This window comes from Homo sapiens, chromosome 18, assembly GCF_000001405.40.
Source record: "Homo sapiens chromosome 18, GRCh38.p14 Primary Assembly".
NCBI classification, from domain to species: Eukaryota; Metazoa; Chordata; class Mammalia; order Primates; family Hominidae; genus Homo; species Homo sapiens.
Window position 1 is genome coordinate 39,148,657 of NC_000018.10, and position 20,530 is coordinate 39,169,186.

Below are 20,530 nucleotides of genomic sequence, written 5' to 3' on the forward strand. Positions count from 1 at the left end.
TTCTGGACAAGTGTGCCCATTTAGTGATCCCCAGAAGTTAAACAGTAGTGGAAGTATTTAATAATATCTGATGAGGGCCTTCCCATTTTGGTTGAAATTAATCCTCAGGGGATACTTCTTTCCAAGTTTATAGTAAGCCTAATTCCCTGGATGAATGGGGGAATTGATTCTTTCCCTTGTGGGAGGAGGTAATGTTTCATCTCATCTTTTCAAAGGGCCTTTTGAACCTGGCCTGAATTCCAAAATGGGGGGCATAGTGAAGCATGTCTGACTCCCTATTTCTTGTATTGTCTTAAGTTAGTTCTTCAGGTTTCTTATAGCCAATTAAATTTTCCAGGCCTTATGAGAATGGGGGTGGGAAGGCACTCATTAGCCCTTAAAACCTTTTTTAAGCAATATGAGAGTCAAAACTCAAAATGCAAAAATAAAGGTACACATCTCAAATAACCAAGAATATAGAATCAAGCTACATTGGAGAAAAAGATTGCTTTTATAGACCTCTAAGATAAAATATTTCAGCATCAGGCCATAACAATAGTTAGAATCGTAGCAGAAAAAAATTTCAGGAGCTGATGAAAAAGCTGAAATAGAGAGCTATCATCTCAGGCTTTCTCAATAAGTTGAGAAAACTTGTTTTAACATAGGAGACCAATCTTTACAAAGACTATTATAAACATAAACAATTCCCTTTTAATTTCAGTCAACTTAATCATATGCAAAATTTCTTCACAAATTGCCCTTTACAAACATTATCACAACTTACACGGGTTATCTATGACATGCTTGGACTTTCTGACTTGTCCTATACTATCTCTTAATAACCAGTCGTTTTACTTTAGGAAAATAACTTCCCATATGTATTAGTCCATTCTCATGCTGCTGTAAAGAACTTTTGAAGATTTGGTAATTTATAAAGGAAAGAGATTTAATTGACTCACAGTTTGGCATGGCTGGGAAAGCCTCAGGAAACTTACAATCATTGTAGAAAGGGAAGCAAACACATCCTTTCTCACAAGGCAGCAGCAAGGAGAAGCAGAATGAACAAAAGGGAGAAAAGTGCCTTATAAAACCATCAGCTCTTGTGAGAATTCACTCACTATCACGAGAACAGCATGAGGGCAACCACCACCATGATTCAATTACCTCCCTTCAGGTCCCTCCCACAACACATGCGGATTATGGGAACTACAATTCAAGGTGTGATTTGAGTGGGAATACAGCAAAGCTATGTCATCAAAGAAAATTCTTTCTTATATAAAATTACTCTTTTCTTTGTATCTTTCCTTACCAAAAATACATCTTTATATCCACAAAATTTCTCTTCCCTACTTCACATTTCTTCACAGAAATTTCACATTTCTCTCCCCTACTCTGCCTGGTTTGATAATTAACCTTTTAAAGTCCATAATTTAAACAACCTTTGATAAAAGTTGAATTTGACAAAATTGTTCTTTTTCTCAATAAAAACACATTGTCTTTGGCACATTTTATATGAACCAAGCAAACGAGAAATTCTAAATTGTCTTTTAGATGTTAGTATTTTGTAGACAAGAAACATTTAACAATTAAAAAAAGAAGCTTTCCCATATAAAAATCCTCTCAAGTGTCAATGAGCCAGACACCCAGTAAGCATCCAAAACAATTTAAAAATTTTAAATTACACAAAGAGTTCATCTATAAGTGTTTATCTCATTTCATTTACCTAATTCATCATTATTAATTTTTAGGAGTTTACTGAAATTGTTTATGAAAAAATGCAATATTAGACAAAGCTAATAATCACTGAAAGTTATATCCTAGTTAATGATTTTTAAAGTCTAAACATTAGGTAAACTGCTAGGTACAACTCTTAAAGTTGAACATATGACTATTTTGTCAATAACTCAGAAGACTCAGCTGTCTTTATTGAGCCAACAATCTTAAATTAGCCTTATTTGTGTAATTCTGAAGACATTTCTATTTTTATCAATAATTTTAAAATCAATTTTATTTATCCAAGATTCATGTAAACTTGAAAAGCATATGAACTTACTTAACTTATAAGTATTCACTTACTTATAAGCCAATTTGATAGCATGCTAGACACAACACATAATACACGTACATACACACAAAAATATCTAAATGTGTATACATATACACAAAGGTCCAATAGCATCTACCTCAGAATTCTAGTCATAAGATGGCAATATAAATTCACCACTTTATAAAAAATAGATGGATTTCAAATTATTTTTCACAAGATTAAGACCTGTCTACAAGGCTAAACTTTGTTTGCCTTGATAAGTAATCCAGGGAAAGCTACAGACCAGAACTTGTGTAAGGTAGTTTTCATGGTAATTTTGATTTCAAATCTTCTTTTATCTCATGTTTTTTTAATGAAAGAAGAGAAGGAAGGGGTAAATAGAATTGCACAAAGGGTGCCCTGGAGTTCCCAAGCCAACAGAGAACTCACGCAGAAGTGGAGACACCAAAATGTTTAGGTGACCACTTGTCTGTTGCTGCAGGGAGTCATCTGTCAAGTTGGGAATCTGGAAACCCCAGAAAAAAAAAATGGACTTAAGCAAACCAGCAGTCTGGGGTGTAGGTGATTTCCTTCAATATCAAAGGCAGGGCAGGGGGAACACTCACCTGTCTGCAGGAGTCAAAATGACACTGACTAGTCTCCAACTTGGGGCCCTGGTAAAGGTCTCCCCTGGGTTTCCTTGATATGGGTGGGCTCATCTGTCATAAGGGGATCAATGCATAGATGACTGACCTGCCAGCAAGAGCAGTGGGTCCCACATGAAGTGGCAGCACTGCAGCCACTTGCTTATTTGCTCAGTTCTGCCATTCTGCCAGGAAATAAGATGGCCCTGGAAAGAGTCTTTGGTTAATACACATCTCTGCAGTGTTGGCAGCTCTTTAGTATTAGTGTTCAGGTTACAGCTCTGTAGCTTCAACTGCCACCTCATCATCTATTGCCATCTTACTGATTGCCAGATCACTGCCTCACCTGCTCTCTCACTTCTTGCTTTCTTGTTGACTCCATGTCGGGCACCAGATGATGCAGGACAGGAAAGCCCCAAAATTTGGGCTTAGCATGGGAGGATCCTTGGCTTTGCTCAGGAAAGGATTTAAGAGTGATCCAGCAGTGGATGAATGTAGGTTTTTTGAAGGGGCAGTGTACAGCAGAGTAGCTACTCCATGCAGAGCAGGGAGCATGGAAAGTGCACCTAGAGTAGCAGCATACAGGCTGTTGGTTAGCTATATTTATATCCACTTTTAATTATACACAAATTAAGAGTTGGTTTATTCTGAAATCTCTAGAAAAGGCGTGGTAACTAATAGATGTTGCCATCGCATTCATAAACTGTCATGGCACTAGTGGGAGTTTCTTAGGCGGATGAGTATAAAAGGCTAATATAGTATGCCTTCAGCACCATTTACTGGTTTTGCCCATTTTTCTTTTATTTCATCCTGTCATAACTGGAAAATAATAAATGCTGATCTCCTACATCAATTGGACTTCAGATATAAAGAATGTATTCTTTAGGCAACTATACACACAAAAAGATCAAGACCTTCCCAAGGAAAACATTCACGAATGTGTCTGACTTCTCTACAGTAATAATCAATGCAGAGGTCATGAATACTGCCCACAAGTACTGTAGGAGGGTAATGGGCGGCCCCATATTTTTATGTCCCAATAAACTCTTTCTCAAGGATAAAGCCTATTGTTCTGAACATAAAATAAATGAAGAAATATTGCTCAGAGTTTCCAGAGATTCCTGGAAGGTGAATGCAAAATAACTGCCACATCAAAACAAAAACTTAGATGGAAAAAGGAGTGATAGAATACAATTTTGAATGCCAGCTATTTATGAATGTAGAAATGACACAGCTAACAAAAATGGGGGAAGAAGTTTAAAAGATGAAAAGTGGAATAAGCCTTTTCATTGCCTCATTTATAATAAGCAAAACTCAAAGACCCCACTAGAAACTAATAAAATAAGTATTAGACTTTAAAGCATATTTAAAAATACAAAGGAAAATACTAAAAAAGATGATTTATAGAATGGATTGGGAAGGAAAGTAGGAAGCATTAAAAATAGGATAAAAGCTCATTTCAGGTTGTTCATTCTAAGAAACAAAAGGATACTACCTAAAAAAATAGAAGCTAAGGACATTATATGAAGATGACCAGTAGCCTAAAAAAAACTTTCTGAATTTCAGAATAACTGAGGAACAAAAAAATTTGTAGTAAAAGACTTTAATATATTTTAAAACAATACACATGATAGAAAAGAACACAACTTTTTTCATATCTATCTATAGATAATCTCACATAACTCCTTACTGATTGGATCACAAAACGAAATCTCAATCTATTTCATAGAACAAAAAGTATCCCTAAAGTAAAATTGTTAAGCAACAAAAATAATAAAGAATTTAAAAGTGTAGATAGATATGACAAAAGTTCTACTAGGTAAATAAAAAGAAAAAGAAAAAAAAGAAATTATGTTTTTCAAATTAGAGAAAGTAGAATACAGACAAAAACACAGAAAATGAGATGAAGGTATAATTTTTCGTTTATCACATTTATTAATATGAATACAGCACATAGCAAAGCAGAAACTTTCATAAAGAAAAGGAAACAAAACAAATCACATAAAAAAAACAAAGTAAGATTTTTTTTTTCAATCCAGGACATATCAACTGGACAAAATTCAACTAAGGTTATAGAAGCCTTAAATGACACAGTAAATAAGATGTATTTGGTCAATGTGTATACTAAATACTAAACCATCATATTAAAGAACACACCACTCCTTCAAATGACAAAAGAACATTCTCAAAATCCTATCAAATATTAGATTACAATAAAATAATAATAAAATCCAATGTGTTAAAATAATGAAGACCATTGATTCTGTTCTTGATGCAATAAAATAAAAAATCTATTACATAATGAGAAATTAATTTCAAAAAGGACCTATCATTAGGAAATGGGGGACTTCTCATAAACAACACTTTGTCAATGAGAAAATTAAAAATGGAAACCTAAAAGTTTTGCATAAAATATACTGAAATCATTAAGTAATAAAACTTGCAGGTTTTAGCCAAAAAATTATACAACAGAGAAAAATGTATATGCTAATAACAATAATATTTTGACAAAAAAGTCACTACCTTTTATATTTATATAACTAACTTTCAATTTTATTATTTATATGAAGCACTCATACTCTATGCTCCTTGAATATTAGAATCAACTGGGAAAGTTTTTAAAAATATATTAATATCTGGCTCCCAGTGCTAGTAGTTTGGTTTGATGTAACTCTACAACAATAAAAATAAATTTCAAATGGAGTAAATCTTATGAAGAAGAAATATTGCTAAAATATCTGTACTATCCAAAGCAATTTACAGATTTAATAAAATCCATGTCAAACTACCAATAACATTCTTCACAGAAATAGAAAAAAATCCTAAAATACATATGAAACCAAAAAAGCAATCCTGAGAAAAAAGGATAAAAGCTTAAGTTACATTCCCTGACTTAAATTCTACTACAAAGAGCCATAATAACCAAAACAGCATGATACTTGCATAAAAACATATAAACCAAAGGAACAGAATAGACAGAAATCCATCCACACATTTACAGTCAATTCATTTTTCACCATGTCACCAAGAACATACACTGAAGAAAGGACAGTCTTCAATAAATGATGCTAGGAAAACTGGATATCCATATGTAGAAGAATGAAACTAGAACCCTATTTCTCACCCTACAAAAAGTCAAATTAAAATGGATTAAAGATTTAACTGTAAAACTTGAAACTATGAAACTACTTTTAAAAATTGGGGAAATGCTTCAGGACATTGATTTGGGCAAAGATTTCTTGAGTAAGTCTTCAAAAGCACAGTCAACCAAAGCCAAAATTTAAAAATGGAATCACATGAAGCTAAAAAGCTTCTACACAGCAGAGAAACCAATCAAGAAAGTAAAGAGGCAGCCTGCAGAATGGGAGAAAATATTTTCAAACTATTCAGCTAACAAGGATTAACAACCAGAATATATAATGAAATCAAACAACCCAATAGCAATAAAAACAAATAATGTAATTTAAAAATGGACAAAAAAACCTGATTGGCCATTTCTCAAAAGAAGACACACCAATAGCTAACACGTATATGAAAAACTTGCTCAAAATCATCAATTATCATGGAAATGTAAATCAAAACCACAGTAAAATATCATCATACCCCAGTTAGAGTGGCTATCAACAAAAAGACAGAAGATAGCAAATTTTGGTGTGGATGAGGAGAAACAGGAACTCTCATACACTGTTGGTGGAAATGTAAATTAGTACAGCCATTATGTTACATAATATGGATGTTTCTTAAAAATATAAAAATATAACTAACAGATGATCCAGCAATCCCATTGCTGAGTATATATCCAAAGTATGAAAATCAGTATATCAAAGAAATATTTGCACTTCCATGTTTAGTGTAGTGCTAGTCACAATAGCCAAGATATGGAATCATTCTATGTATCCATCAATGGATGAATGGATAAAGAAAATGTATGTAGCATATATGCACAATGTAATATTATTCTGCCATTAAAAAAGAATGGATGGCACTGGAAGACATTATGCTAAGTGCAATAAGTCAGGAACAGAAAGACAAATATCACATGTTCTCACTCATATGTGGGAGCTAAAAAAAAAATTATTATAATTACCACCATTATAAATGGTGGTTACCAGAGGTTGAGAAGTGTAGTGGGGGGCATTAGGGGGGTTATAGAAGTATTAGTTAATAGGTACAAACATAGTAAGATAGAAGTGACAGTGGCAGGAGGTAGACAAATGCCTAGGCAGATAGGGGTAAGTCCCCAATGAAACCCAACCTCCAAGCCAGAGACAGTTTGAAGCTTGAAAGCCAAGCTTCAAATCAATTCCATGGACTAGATTGAGTACCTGTCTTCCAATTTGGTGTGCTTTCCTCTAACTGATCCCCACCCTTCACATATTTTACATATGCCTACCCTTTTCTTTTTTTTTTTTTTTTTTTGAGACAGAGTCTCACTCTGTGGCCCAGGCTGGAGTGCAGTGGCACTATCTTGGCTCACTGCAAGCTCTGCCTCCCAGGTTCATGCCATTCTCCTGCCTCAGCCTCCCGAGTAGCTGAGACTACAGGTGCCCGCCACCATGCCCAGCTAATTTTTTCCATTTTTTAGTAGAGAAAGGGTTTCACCATGTTAGCCAGGATGGTCTTGATCTCCTGACCTCCATGATCCGCCCACCTTGGCCTCCCAAAATGCTGGGATTACAGGCGTGAGCCACCGCACCCGGCCATACCTACCCTTTTCTAATTGCTTTTCTATGCTGCTGTGCCCATCTTTCAGAGATGCCTTTGCTTTAGCCTTTCTTTGCACACTCACAAACCAATCAGCATGCACTTCCCTATCCCGAGCCCATAAAAGCCCCAGACTCAGCCACACAGGAAGAGAAATCACTGAACCGCAGGGATGGGGGACTAACCCTGCATCCCCTCTCTGCTGAGAGGTGCTCTGTCACTCAATAAAATTCTTCTCTGCCCTCCTTACCCTTCAATTGTCAGTGTATCCTCATTCTTCTTGGATGCAAAACAAGAGCTTGGGAATCACCAAATGTGGGTATAAGCTATAGCACAGGCAGACTGGGGCACACCAGGCCTAGCCACGGGCTGAGTTGGTGTGCAAGCCAGTCTTGGCCTGGGCAGGCTGAGTGGGTGGGGCACCTCCTGCAGCAGGTGAGCATGCCCAAGTGAGGCCTGGGCAGGGGTATTGCCAGCCAGAGGTCCCAGCTGGCAAAGTAACTGAGAAAAATCCTGCATGAGAAAAAATAAGATCTAGTGTCCAGTAGCACAATTGGACAACAATAGCTAATAATAATTTATTGTATATAACAACAATTTATTGTATAATTCAAAATTTAAAAATATATTATTAAAAATAAATGCAAACACATTTTTTAGAAAAAATATAGGGTATCTCAGTTACCTCAAGGTAGCATATGATATTTCTAAACAATATAAAAAATGGCAAGTCCAGAAGGAAGAAATTGATAATTTGACAAACACATAACAAATTTTAAGGTTTTTAAAATAAATAGTAAATCCCAACAGAAATGGTCAATAATAGTGGACTATTTAAATAAATTATGTATAAATATGCATGTATACTTATACATATATAAGAAATTAAGAGCCCATTAAAAGTGACTCATTAAAATACTGTGAAAAGTGCTCATTAATGTTTAAATACTCAGAAATAATATTATGTGAAAAATTTTAAAGATACAGATATATAAATTATAATCCTAATTCTTAAAATGCACACCTATGTGCATATACACATGATTAAAAAAAAGAGTAATACCAAAATTAGTTCAGGGTTGATTTTCAGTTAATGAAATGTGTGCTTGTTCTTTTATTTTTTATCTTGTTTAGTTTTTTACTATATTATTTTATCCAAATTTTAAAACTATGTACATATGAAAATGTGAGCAGCTTCAGATGCAGTGAACCAGTTCCACTTTGGCTCCAACCAGACAAACCATGTCACCATACGATTAGATAAACCCAGATGCTGCCTACATACATGTGGATTCTCATATTCATGAATTTGAGCCTCTGCTCTGCCAAGTGGGCAGTAAATTGTCATATAGAAGACAGCCTGAAAGGAAGTGTATTCCAGTAGATAGAATTAAACACCATAATGACAAGAATATGAATTATCTTCATAATGTAGTAACTTCCTTTCTGTTCAACTTTGAAAAAGTAATTTAACTTGTGTGTTTCAGTCTCCGTTAAATTGATGATAATAATCTTTCTTTGTTAACAAAGTGCTTTGAAATCACTGTGTGACATGTAATATATTACCAGAAAGTATTCTTATTTCACCCTGCATTGTAACCTCTCAGGAAAAGGATCTATGCATCATTGTGAGTATTTCAATGTACAATGTTGGCAAAAAAATGAGGATATGATTGAGAATGATACAAAAAACACTGTAATGCTCTTCTGTAAGTCAGTGTTATGAACTCACCTTGAATGTTGAATTGACTAATAGTACGTTTACATCAATGGAATGACAAATGTAAGGAAGTTTCAGAGAACACATAATGAGACCCTATTTGTGAAGGAGGCAGAGATAAATAGAGGGTAAGAGAACTTAGTATGCAAAAATAGGACTGTAGTTCAAGAGAAGAAACAGAATTACAGGAATTACACAGAAGTAAAGAGAAAGAAGGCCTATTTCTCTCTTATGAAGACTTGAAGTTTAATTGAGTGACTTACAGTGTAAATAAATGAAGGTACCATTTTAACAAATTAGTTCTCAACTTATTATTGAATTCATTATCCAAGTGATGGTAGAGAGAAAAACATACATTGTTTAAAGATAGCTTAAAGCATAGTAGCTCTTATAAATTTGTATGTATATGTACTTGAATTGCTAACACTACAAGTGTCCCTTTTTGACATGAATGGCAATGGGGCAGAGTCGTGTTTTTATCAAGTCATTAATTGCTTTGGTGCTTCCCTTGTAGAGAATGCCTCTGGTCCCAGAAAACCATGAAACTAAGCAGAAACATGTTCCTGAATTAATTAATATTCTTTTTCCAATGTAAAAGGAACAAAACAAAAGGAATAAAATAAAAGTACTTATTTATCATATATGATAACATAGAAATAACAATACAAGATAATACATCTGAATAAGATTTGTAGGCCTTAATATAGTATATAATATTTATAATCTCTTTCTAAAACAGAAAATCGTATATTTTTCTCACTTAAGAAAGATGTACCCATGATCATGAACCCGCAACATTGCAATCATTTGGAAATATTCAGGAAATAACATTTCCTTCTTGTTGGTTTGTGGGTGGCATATAGTGTGACATACTAGCAGAGTAAAATCTGATAGATTTGGCCTCAAATTCATCCCATCATTTGCTAGCAATCAAGTTTCAGAATTTTTCTAGATCTCTGTTACCTCAAACATAATATAGAAACAAGAAACCAAATTTAAAATCTTCTTGGAGATGTAAATGAGAAAAATGCAGGTATAAATGGCCAGCAAAAATTGAAGCAGTTAAGATCAGTCAATAAAGATCAGATTCATCATCAATTAGGGGCTTTGGATATTAACCATTCATCATTATTTCAGTAATATTTAGCAAACCACAACATTTTTTAAAATCATTTTTCCCATATGTGTCATTAGGATAATAGTCACTTCATACTGTTCTGAGAAGAGATTATAGCAAATTAATCAAGGGTCATACCTTTCTTCCCACCTGCATTCTTCACTAGTTGCACCATTAAAGACAACACCACCAGGTTGAACGTTTACAGACTGAATTCATCACCAACGGGTTAAATGCTCAATCTGCTTTGGTTATTTTAATGTCTGAAATAATAAGATTTGGCAGTTTTACAAAAGTAAACTATATGAACCATTGAATGTTGATATAGAGTTTAGTGATCAACTTTTATATAAAAATTTATATTGAACTGACATATTTTTCCAACATTGTGTTTTATTTTTTACACTTCTATAGTTGAAGAAATAAAAATAACATTTTGAGCAAAATGTGTGGGATGGCCAGAAATTTGTTCTTAGAACCATGAACAAAGTTGAGCAATTATTTTGGCTACCACACGAGATATTAATTGACTAATTGACCATCAAAATATGTTATTCAAGGATTATTTGGATTTGGTCCATGGTGGGGAAAGGTACTGGGATGTCACAGGAAAGTTTGAGGAACTTTCTAGAACTCTCCTTTCTTATTTTAGCTAAAATCATTTCAAACAGGAAAACTATCTCTTTTACCAAAATCTCAGAGGGCTGGTCTAAGTCCTGCTGCTTACCACACAGAAAGCCAATCACAGAGATAACAATTATTGCCAGGGAAGAAGGCTTTAATTGGGTGCTGCAGCTGAGGAGAAGGGAGATCAGTCTCAAATTCATCTCCTTGACTAAAATTAGGGGTTTATATAGCAGGGAAGAAATGTAACCATGTATGGGAAAACAGGAATTAGGGAGAAGTAAGGAAGAGGAGTTGGTCAACAGGAAACAGGTGGTTGGATAGGCAATCATGGTGAGTGAGGGGTCTGGCTTCTTATTGTCCAGATGTGGTGATCTGGTAAGTTTTAGCTCCTTAATACTATCTGGGAGCCCTGATGGGTGATTTCGTGAGAAAGGAACTCAGAAAAGACAAATGCAACTTTCTCAAGTTTTAACACTGGGAAGATCAGTTTCTATGTTTATTAAAAGAAGCCATAAATACAAGTTCTATGGGACAACTGGGTGGGTTTCATCTCTATCTTAGCAGCATGTTGCATTTTGAAGTTCAGCAATTCCTCCTGGAGCATCTAATTCAGATCATTGATTTAAAAATAAACACTTGAATTGTTATGAAATGAAAATTATTCTTTAAAAGAGATGAGCAGATGGATTGTTTGTTAATTACCAAGCACTGTGTCATGCAGTTAAGGTGAGACTGTGTGTCACTTAAATCTTTTTTCTGTCCCAACAGAATGTATCACACAGGGGAAAGGCATAGTGTAAACGACTGCTCTGTGCATTGGTATATACAAGATCAGCAGAGTTGTAAGAAATAAGTGGACTCCTTATAAGTTGTATAGGGTCATCTTCCTCTATCATACTACTTATGGATTGCTATTTCACACCATATGGATTTGCTCTGAGCCAAAAGAATTTTATTTTTATTTTCATTTTTATTTAGAGACAGAGTTTTACTCTGTCTCTCAGGCTGGAGTTCAGTGGCATTATCATAGCTCACTGTAACCTGAAACTAACTCTTGGGCTCAAGTAATCTTCCCACCTCCCAAAGCCCAGGTGTGAGCCACTGTGCTCTCAAAAACATTTTAATGTAGGCAGCAATCCATATTTGCTTCTCTGGGGTCTTAATCGCCACATTTTAATTTTTTTTTTTTTTTTTTTTTTTTTTTTTACTGTGGATCTCTTTCCAATTGTGCACACTTCTCTGTTCAGAAGAAAAATCAGTGCAAAGAGAATGGCATTATTGCAAAAATTAAAAAAAAAACACTCTCCAAACTAACTTAAAGAGCTTCATATTAGCACTCTAAATAAAGGTTTTTTAGGATTACCAAGATTTTAAGCTGCACAGGTTGTGAAGTAGATAACTACCAATACAACTGGATTTTATTGGTAACAAAAGTTGTCCCAATACAACCATTTTTCTAAAATTTCTAACATAATTTCTCTTATTAAGTCACTATGCCATTATATTACCTGGGTAAGATCACTGCTTATTTAACATATTTGCAGAAACTAGTGTCCTGGTTTTCAGGCAGAGCACCGGATGGCTGCAAGTGAAAGCATCTGAGAAGAAACTCATAAAGTTACTGGTAGGAAACAAAATTTAAAAAAAGAAAGTTTAATTCAGGGGACCCAAGGGGTACATGCATAGGTTTGTTACATGGCTATATAGTGTAATGATGAGGTTTGGGTTTCAATTATATTCATTACCCAAATAATGGACATTGTACTCAGTAGGTAATTTTGTGGAGAAAAAGAGAGAGGTTTTAGACAACTCAGACCGTGTGCGAATATTTGAGTAGTGTTACAAAAAGAAAATTAGCCCTGTTTGCTGTCTCTGAAAGGCAAATGAAAATGACTCAAGGAAAAGTGGTCATATTTTATGCAATTCAGGCATATTCCTTTAAAAAAATAACAGCTATGATTTCTGGCTACAGTAATTGACAGTCCACCTTTTTTCTCTCAAATAATTTAAAATTTGGTTAAATTCACAAGCATATACAGAGTTAAAACTAATGATTTAAAAGCAACATAAGAAATTTATACGTTTCACTCCATAATTAATGACTAAATGGAAAAATGTTACTCTACTTGCAAAACTGTAACACCTAATGTATGAATTTTCTTCAAAAAGAAATTATCTAATTTTCTGCATACACCAGAGGGTGCCCTCCAATTAAATTCCCTCTGACACTAACTACTTAGAGTTAGTGCACACCCCACAGATGAAGGGCTGAGGTCCAAATGACTGCCCCCTTACTTCGGGAGCCAATCACAAGCAGAGGGTCTCCATGTTGCTCACACTTCTTTCCAATTTGGCAACAAATTGAAGGTTCCTACAACCCCCTCCTGGGGTCCGATAATTTTCTAAAACACCTCACAGAACTCAGGGGAATACTTTACTGTTATTAGTTTATTGCAAAGGTTATTATAAAGGGGCTTGGTGTGGTGGCTCGCGCCTGTAATCCCAGCACTTTGGGAGACCAAGGTGGGTGGATCACCTGAGGTCAGGAGTTTGAGACCAGCCTGGCCAACCTGGCAAAACCCCGTCTCTACTAAAAAAATACAAAAAAAAAAAAAAAAAATTAGCCAGGCTGGTGGCGCACACCTGTAATCCCAGCCACTTGAGAGACTGAGACAGGAGAAGCACTTGAACCTGGGAGCTGGAGGTTGCAGTGAGCCAAGATGGCGCTGTTGCACTCCAGCCTGGGTGACAGAGTGAGACTTCGTCTCAAAAAAAAAAAAAACAAAAAAAACAAAAAAAAGATTATTATAAAGGTACCAATAAACAGCCTGAGGAAGGTGATGCAGGACAGGAGAAAAGTCCCAAACCCAAAACTGGGGCTTAGGCCAGGAGCGTTCTTGACTTCATTCAGAAAAGAATTCAAGGGTGAGTTGGTAACATTAAACAGCAACTTTCACTGAAGCCTCAGTTTGTAGCAGCAGCAGATGTACCGCTCCTTGTGGAGCCAGACTACCTCACAGGCAATACGCCCAGAGTAGCAGCTCAGAGGCAGTTTTTCAGTCATATTTATACGTACTTATAATTACACACAAATTAAGGGGCAGATTATGCAGACATTTTTAGGAAAAGGGTGGTAACCTCTGGGTCTTTGAGTTGTTGCCATGGAAAGGGGCGGTAACTTCTGGATGTTGCCATGGCAGTGGTAAACTGACAAGGCATGTCTTATGAAGAGGTGTTTTTACCTCTTCCCTGTTTCAGCTAGTCTTCAATCTGATTTGGAGCCCAAGCCTACCTCCGGAGTCAAGTCCCACCTCCTACCTTAAAGGGTTACATAAGGCGAAGTCTAGAAAGGTCCTGAGTGCAGGAGCTTTAGTGGGAGGAACTACCTTTCCAGTATGTGACTGCATTCACCAACCTGGAAGCTCTCTAAACCCATAGTTCAGGATTTTTCTAAAGCTTCCATTATGTGGATATGATTGATTAAATCATTGGCCATTGGTGATTAACTGAATTCCCAGCTCCTCTCCTCTCCTTGGAGGTGAGGGATTGGGACTAAACTTCCACCCTCTAATCACATGATTAATTTCTCTGGCAAGGAGCCCACATCCTCCCACAGTCACCTCACTAGCACAAATTCAGGTATGGTTTAAAGCAATTTGTCATGAATAATAAAAGACACTCTTCTCACCCCTATCACTCAGGAATTCCAAGGGTTTTAGGAGCTCCGTGCCAGGAGCTCAGGATGAGGACCAAATATGTATTTATTACTGTATCACAATATCACAATGACAAATGGATAGTGCAGAATTCATGTGGTACAACTTCATCATTTGGTGGCAAAGGTCAGGGCAGGCTTCCAAGAAGTGACATTTCTTTGGCTCCTTCTAGAAAGGAAGCAACCATAGCAGCTCAAAATAAAAGAAGAATAAACAGAAGAAATGTATGTTAAATTAATATTCAAATGATTTTGAAATATTCAAGTTGAGCTACTGTGAACATCAGTAATTACACCAAAAAATGAGCAAATGTTATAATTATAACTGCAGTAAAAATTATCCAGCAGTTTCAGGAAGGAGCTCTGCACAGCATATTGATCAGTAGTTATTGAGCTTTTCTTAAGGGTGAAAGCGACATGAAAAGGTCTTAAATTCACTTTGTTCACATTGTAGATGTTCCAGTGGCTGAGCCACAAAACCACAGAAGTAGCAAACTCCATGAATACGGCCCCTATTGTTTACATCAAATGTAACAGTCTTTTATTAATACATCTCCTGGATTGTACCATGGGGACAAAAACTGTTCTCCATAACCTTCTAAATTTCTCAACTTAAACCAGTCAGCTAAGGAAGTTTGGGTTAGAATCACTGTTATCCATTTATTACCCCAATGCCATTCAAAAGTCATGTTAATCATATTGGAAATATTATGACCAAGATTATAAATTTAGCTTTATAATAGTTATTGGGAGAAGGAAGAATGCAACTGCCTGTTTTTCTACCTCTATGTACTTCTACTACCTGCAGCTTACCTCCACCTGAATCGTGACTCTTACCCCAATTTCTAGGCCCAATCCTGCTCTTAAACACACCCAGGCTGGCTGTCAGTAGTCTCTTCTCACTGTCTGTATCTTAATTCTGTGTTTTGTGGATTTCCTATGGAAAGATGGTACAAGGTTTTCCATCCAGTTAAGTCAAACTTCTCAGTCCTGTTTTCTAGGTCCTCTCCTATTAGACCCTATACATAACTAATGATTTACTTGGAGAGGCCCACAAATCTCATTAATGACACCAACTTATTTCTTCCCCTTCCTCACTTCTTCTAACTGATGCAAATAGCTTCCACTCCCTCTTCACACTCTACAGGTCTGTTACTGCTTCGTTGATAACCATGCATCTGACCAACCTGCCATCTTCTGAAAAGCTAACAGCATCTATAAATACAGCTTCATTCTACAATTCACACCTTCTTCTCAACTGATTTATTGAATTCCATCTTGTTAGCCCAGCTCGGATTTTATGTTCTTTGGAAAAATCTGTTTCTAAGTCCATGTGCAGTCCCCACACTACCTAACAAACTGCAATGTGCATGAAGTTGAATACATATTTATTGAGTGAATAAATGGGGAAATGAGCAATTGAATTACTAAGTCTTGGGACAGCAGAGGACTGGGAGATTCTTGGAAATTTAAATGTATAATAATAAACATTGATGGATTGAGAAAATTTGCTTTTTATATTTTACCATTGTTAGGCTGATTTAATGCAGCATAACTTTAAAATTCACTTATTTTCCCTGGGATTTTAATGGAGCTTATAATCTAGTGGAAGGAGAAAGAAAATAAACAAATAAACACTCAAATAAACAAGAAGATTTAAGATTAATTTTTACTACATATATTATACATATTATATGTCAACACTTTATTGATTATTCTAAATTATGCAATAGGGTATAAATATGAATGTTTTCCCCAACCACTGGTTTGAATGCTGCTTTCCTAAATCTTCCTTTTCCTGTCCTTTAATGACATCTTGGATGGAAACCGTAACTTTCCAGTTGATCCAGCAATCAAAACTCAAGCCAGTTTAAAACTTTAATCTTAAACTCAATTTACATCCTATTTCCTGCTCTCTCTCTCCAGTACTATCTTGAGCTGGAGTTCTAGTTGCAGCAAGTAGACGAGATGTGTACATAGTATGGCTTTTATAGACCTCAGTCTATTCTGCTGCTGTGGTCATTTCAACAAGGAGGTAGTCCACATAGATGAAGTGTGGCTCTATCCAGGATACTTTTTCAAGTATATGCACTAGCTTCAGTGAAAATTTATTGCCATTGCATAGTGAAGAAGCTGTTCCTTCCCCAGGTCCTGCCATTTCTTTCCAATTCTCTGCTCTCCTCTGATAGGCACAGGGGTAGCACTCAAATCTAAAGCCTAGGCATGCATTCAAAAAGTAAACAGTATAGTCTTCATATACTATAGGAAGGGTGCCTTAGAATCTCATTGGTCTCTGGGTGGGGAAAAGGGTGAACCACGCAAATCTCTTCTACTTTGAATATGGCATTTTCCTTAAGATCAACCACCCCAGTAACTCCCTCTTATCCAAACCTGCCTCTTTTCACTACATCACCTCTCTTTCTCTCAACCTCAATTTCATCTAGCCTTTACATGCAGGAAAAAAAATCTTGTTACGTGAGTATGCATTCAAGTATTTCTATCTTGCTATCTGCAGTCTCTTCCAGTTGGGATGCCCTTGGTCTGCTTGACAACCCTTTTTTCTGAGCTTTGAAGGCTTTACTCCTCAATGCTTAGGCAACAGAAAAGGTCCAAATCATAACATCTGTAAATATTATAATAAATATATATTTTGGTTTTTATCCCCAAATACTGGCTGGAGTTTCTGAAACCCACGTAATGTCCTAATTGACAAGAGTTATGGGAACATATTTTGTTGTAATATGTGGGGTTTTGTCTTCCCAGTTTCCTGAGATAGCTCAGAGTGATAATGGTGAAAGGTGTGTTCTCTGCAATACATCACAAGCCCCTTTGAACCACACCTGAGTATATGTTAATGAGCTGGCTTTTGGACTGCCCCTAAGGATGGAGATAAATGGCTGCCAGGAAAACCAAGTATGTGATTAAAGGGCTGGAACTTTCAGCAATCCCTAATGCCCCCCTATCTTCAGAGAGGGGAGAAGGGCTGGAGATTGAGTTAATTCCCAATGACCAATGATTTAATCAATCTTACCTGTGTAATGAAGCCTCAGTAAAAACCTAAATTTGGGTTTGAAAAGCTTCCCGAGTGATGAATACCTAGATGTGCTAGGAGCCAGGCACACCTACAGAGGGTGTGGAAACCACATTCCCCTTTCCCCTACCTTGCCCTATGCATCTGTTCCATTTGGCATTTCCTCAGTTGTAATAAACTAGTAAATGTAAGTTTTTTTTTTAATTCTGTGAAGTATTCCAGCAAATTATTAAACCCAAGGGAAGGGATCATGGAAATCCCCAATTTACAGCCAGTTGGTCAAAAGTACTGGAAGCCCAGATTTGTGATTGACATCTGAAATGGGGGCAGTCTAATGAAATTGACCCCTTAACTTGTGGGATCTGACCACAACTTCAGGTAGATCATGTCAGAATTGAATTAAATTGTAAAATACCCGGTTGGTGTTAGGAAAATTGGAGAAATGCTTCCTGTATAAAAACTCCAGACATTTGGTGTTAGTAGTGGTGTGAATGCAAAATAAAAAAGTTTTCTTTTTTTTTTTAACATCTATGTCTCCTTCTCTATCTCCCTTCCCTGTGAATTTAGTAAAGTTTAAAGTTCTCTTCAGTGTTGCTATTTCCATGGCTGTCACCATGGAGACAGTAGTCCAAGACAAAAAGATATCAACAGATCTAGACAAGAGATAGAGAATGATTCAAGACCATAAGTGCATGAGGATATGTATAGAAAGAATCTCAGCCATACTCCCTGATGACCCTCCCTAACTCCATGAATGCACATTCTCCAGACAGATACCCTGATTGAGAGTAGGAATTGTGTTGGGTCTTTAAAGAAACTTTCCATTTTCTTGGATGCTTGGAGCTTTGGAGATAACAGCCCAACAATCTGCCCAATACCAGATCCAAGTAACTGATAAAATCTTGAGTTATCACAGTGAAGCTGAGAGAGTTGAAATTCAGTTCTAGTCAGATGCCTGGCTTAACATCCATCCCAGTACTTACAGGCCTGTCTCAGGTAGTCTTGGGTACTGTTATCTTATAGTTAGATTCATGATTGGCTTAGCAAATACATCATTACTGTCACATGAGAAAAAAATGTGAACTTTTCAACAGTGGCAATAACCAACATAAAATGTAATTTTCAGGACTCAGCTAAAACTGTTTCAGCCAGAGAAGAAGTGACTTCTTTTCCTGTTTGTTAGAAGTAAAAACCAAGCAATGAAACAGGTTTGTTTCTCTTATACTTTCTACTTTCTCTCTGGGTCTTGCTTTCACAAGACAATTTCTGAGAAAAATGACACAGTGTCTACCAACAGAAGGAGTTAAAAGAAAATATTAATTATATGTAGGCTAGTTACATATGAGAATTACCCAAGGTATAAAACTACTTCCCCACAACCGCATGAGCAATTAAAGTAAAAGAAAGCATGTTTGCCACACTTTCAAGATAATCCAAATTTGTAGAGTAGCATGAAATACTAAATTTCTTCCATTTCAAGAAGCTATTAAGTCAATTGAGCAACTGAAGTCAAAGTTGACACAGAAAAACAAAGGACACAGTCAAATAAAATATTAAGTTTTCATATCCACTTAAAAGTAAGATATCTGAGTGAAAGAGGCACATCAAAGTAATACTTGCACAGAGGGCTTAAATGCTAGCACACAGAAAAAAATTCTTTTATTTAATTAAGACCTATATTATTCTATATGTCATGCTTACTTTAAGAGGACTTATAAATATTAACTCTTTTAATCTTCATATCAATTTTATCAGTTAGACATTATTATCATCATCTTCATTTTACAAAATAGAAAACTGAGGCAATGAGTGGTTGGTAAACAAATACTGGTGTTCATACAATAAGGAAGGGATGGAGGCTGGAATTGAACACAGATGTGTCAGCTCAGAATTGCAGGCTCTGAATTGCTATACTATGCACGAAGAAGGCCTGGCCCTAAACCACAGTGCAACGCTGCTGCCTGTTGGAGTATGTGGTGAGCTAGTAGGCTCTTCAGCCAGATAGACCTGAGTTTAAATCCTGGCTCTGGCTTTGGCAAGAACCTGCAGTGATTTGTTATCAGCTACATGTCACTTAATCAAAGGTAGTTACATATTGGAATTTGATTTATATAAGTATCTATATTATCTATTTGTAATATAGATGACAGAAAACACTAGAATCATGACTAGCACATAAACAGCACTTAAAATATTCTTCATTAATATTTCTATTATATAACAAAGAACATAGGAAGTTCAAGTCACCATCACCAGTACATTCCATGCATTCTTATCTCTCACCTTTTCTATTGCAGTAGATACTGAATTCTTGACTTGCAGTCTCACTCTCCCCCTCCAATTCTACCTGGACCCAAAGAGAGTCCTTATAAACTGTGAATATCATGTCTGTGCAAGTGTAAATCTTTCATTGATTTTCATAATTTCTATATTAAGATACAAAAACCTTAGCAGGGTTTACATAGCTCTGCATGGTCTGATGCTTCCCAATATTTCAGTTCCATTTCATGCATTTCATGGCATTTTCTTTACATTACTTCTGCTTACATGTGGGAAAGGCTGACCAAAAACAAAAAAAAATTCAATGATCTCAATACAATACTACTCATTAATTTCACAGGTATTTATTGAGTGGCTACTCAAGTTTCAGGTGCCAAGGGAGTACAGAGCAAGAAAAGCCAAGAGTCATTTCCTACACCATTTAAACATGAATGGATTCGCCTCTACATCCATTTATATGGCCCCTTTTCTCTCCTTTTCTTCTCAGGCAAGCTTCTGCCCAGGCTTGCTTTTACCAAGACTTTCTCTTTCAATTACTTCTCTAAAGTTTTAAATTTGACTTTTGCCTCCACTTCACCACTGACACTATTCTCACTCAGATCATAAACAACATCTGTGGCAGATTCTGACAGTTGCCTTTCTAATATCCATTTCCCTCTTCTTTTTTCACTAAGTCGGTAAAGAGTG

General features: G+C 36.0%; 1 annotated feature.

Moving 5' to 3' along the window:
- Nucleotides 19,572-20,530: an enhancer, noted in NCBI's record as "OCT4-NANOG hESC enhancer chr18:36748192-36749150 (GRCh37/hg19 assembly coordinates)". NCBI's record gives its function as "activates a minimal SCP1, AML or CMV promoter by ChIP-STARR-seq in naive and primed H9 embryonic stem cells {active_cell/tissue: H9 hESC(naive and primed)}" and the evidence as "EXISTENCE:reporter gene assay evidence [ECO:0000049][PMID:30033119]".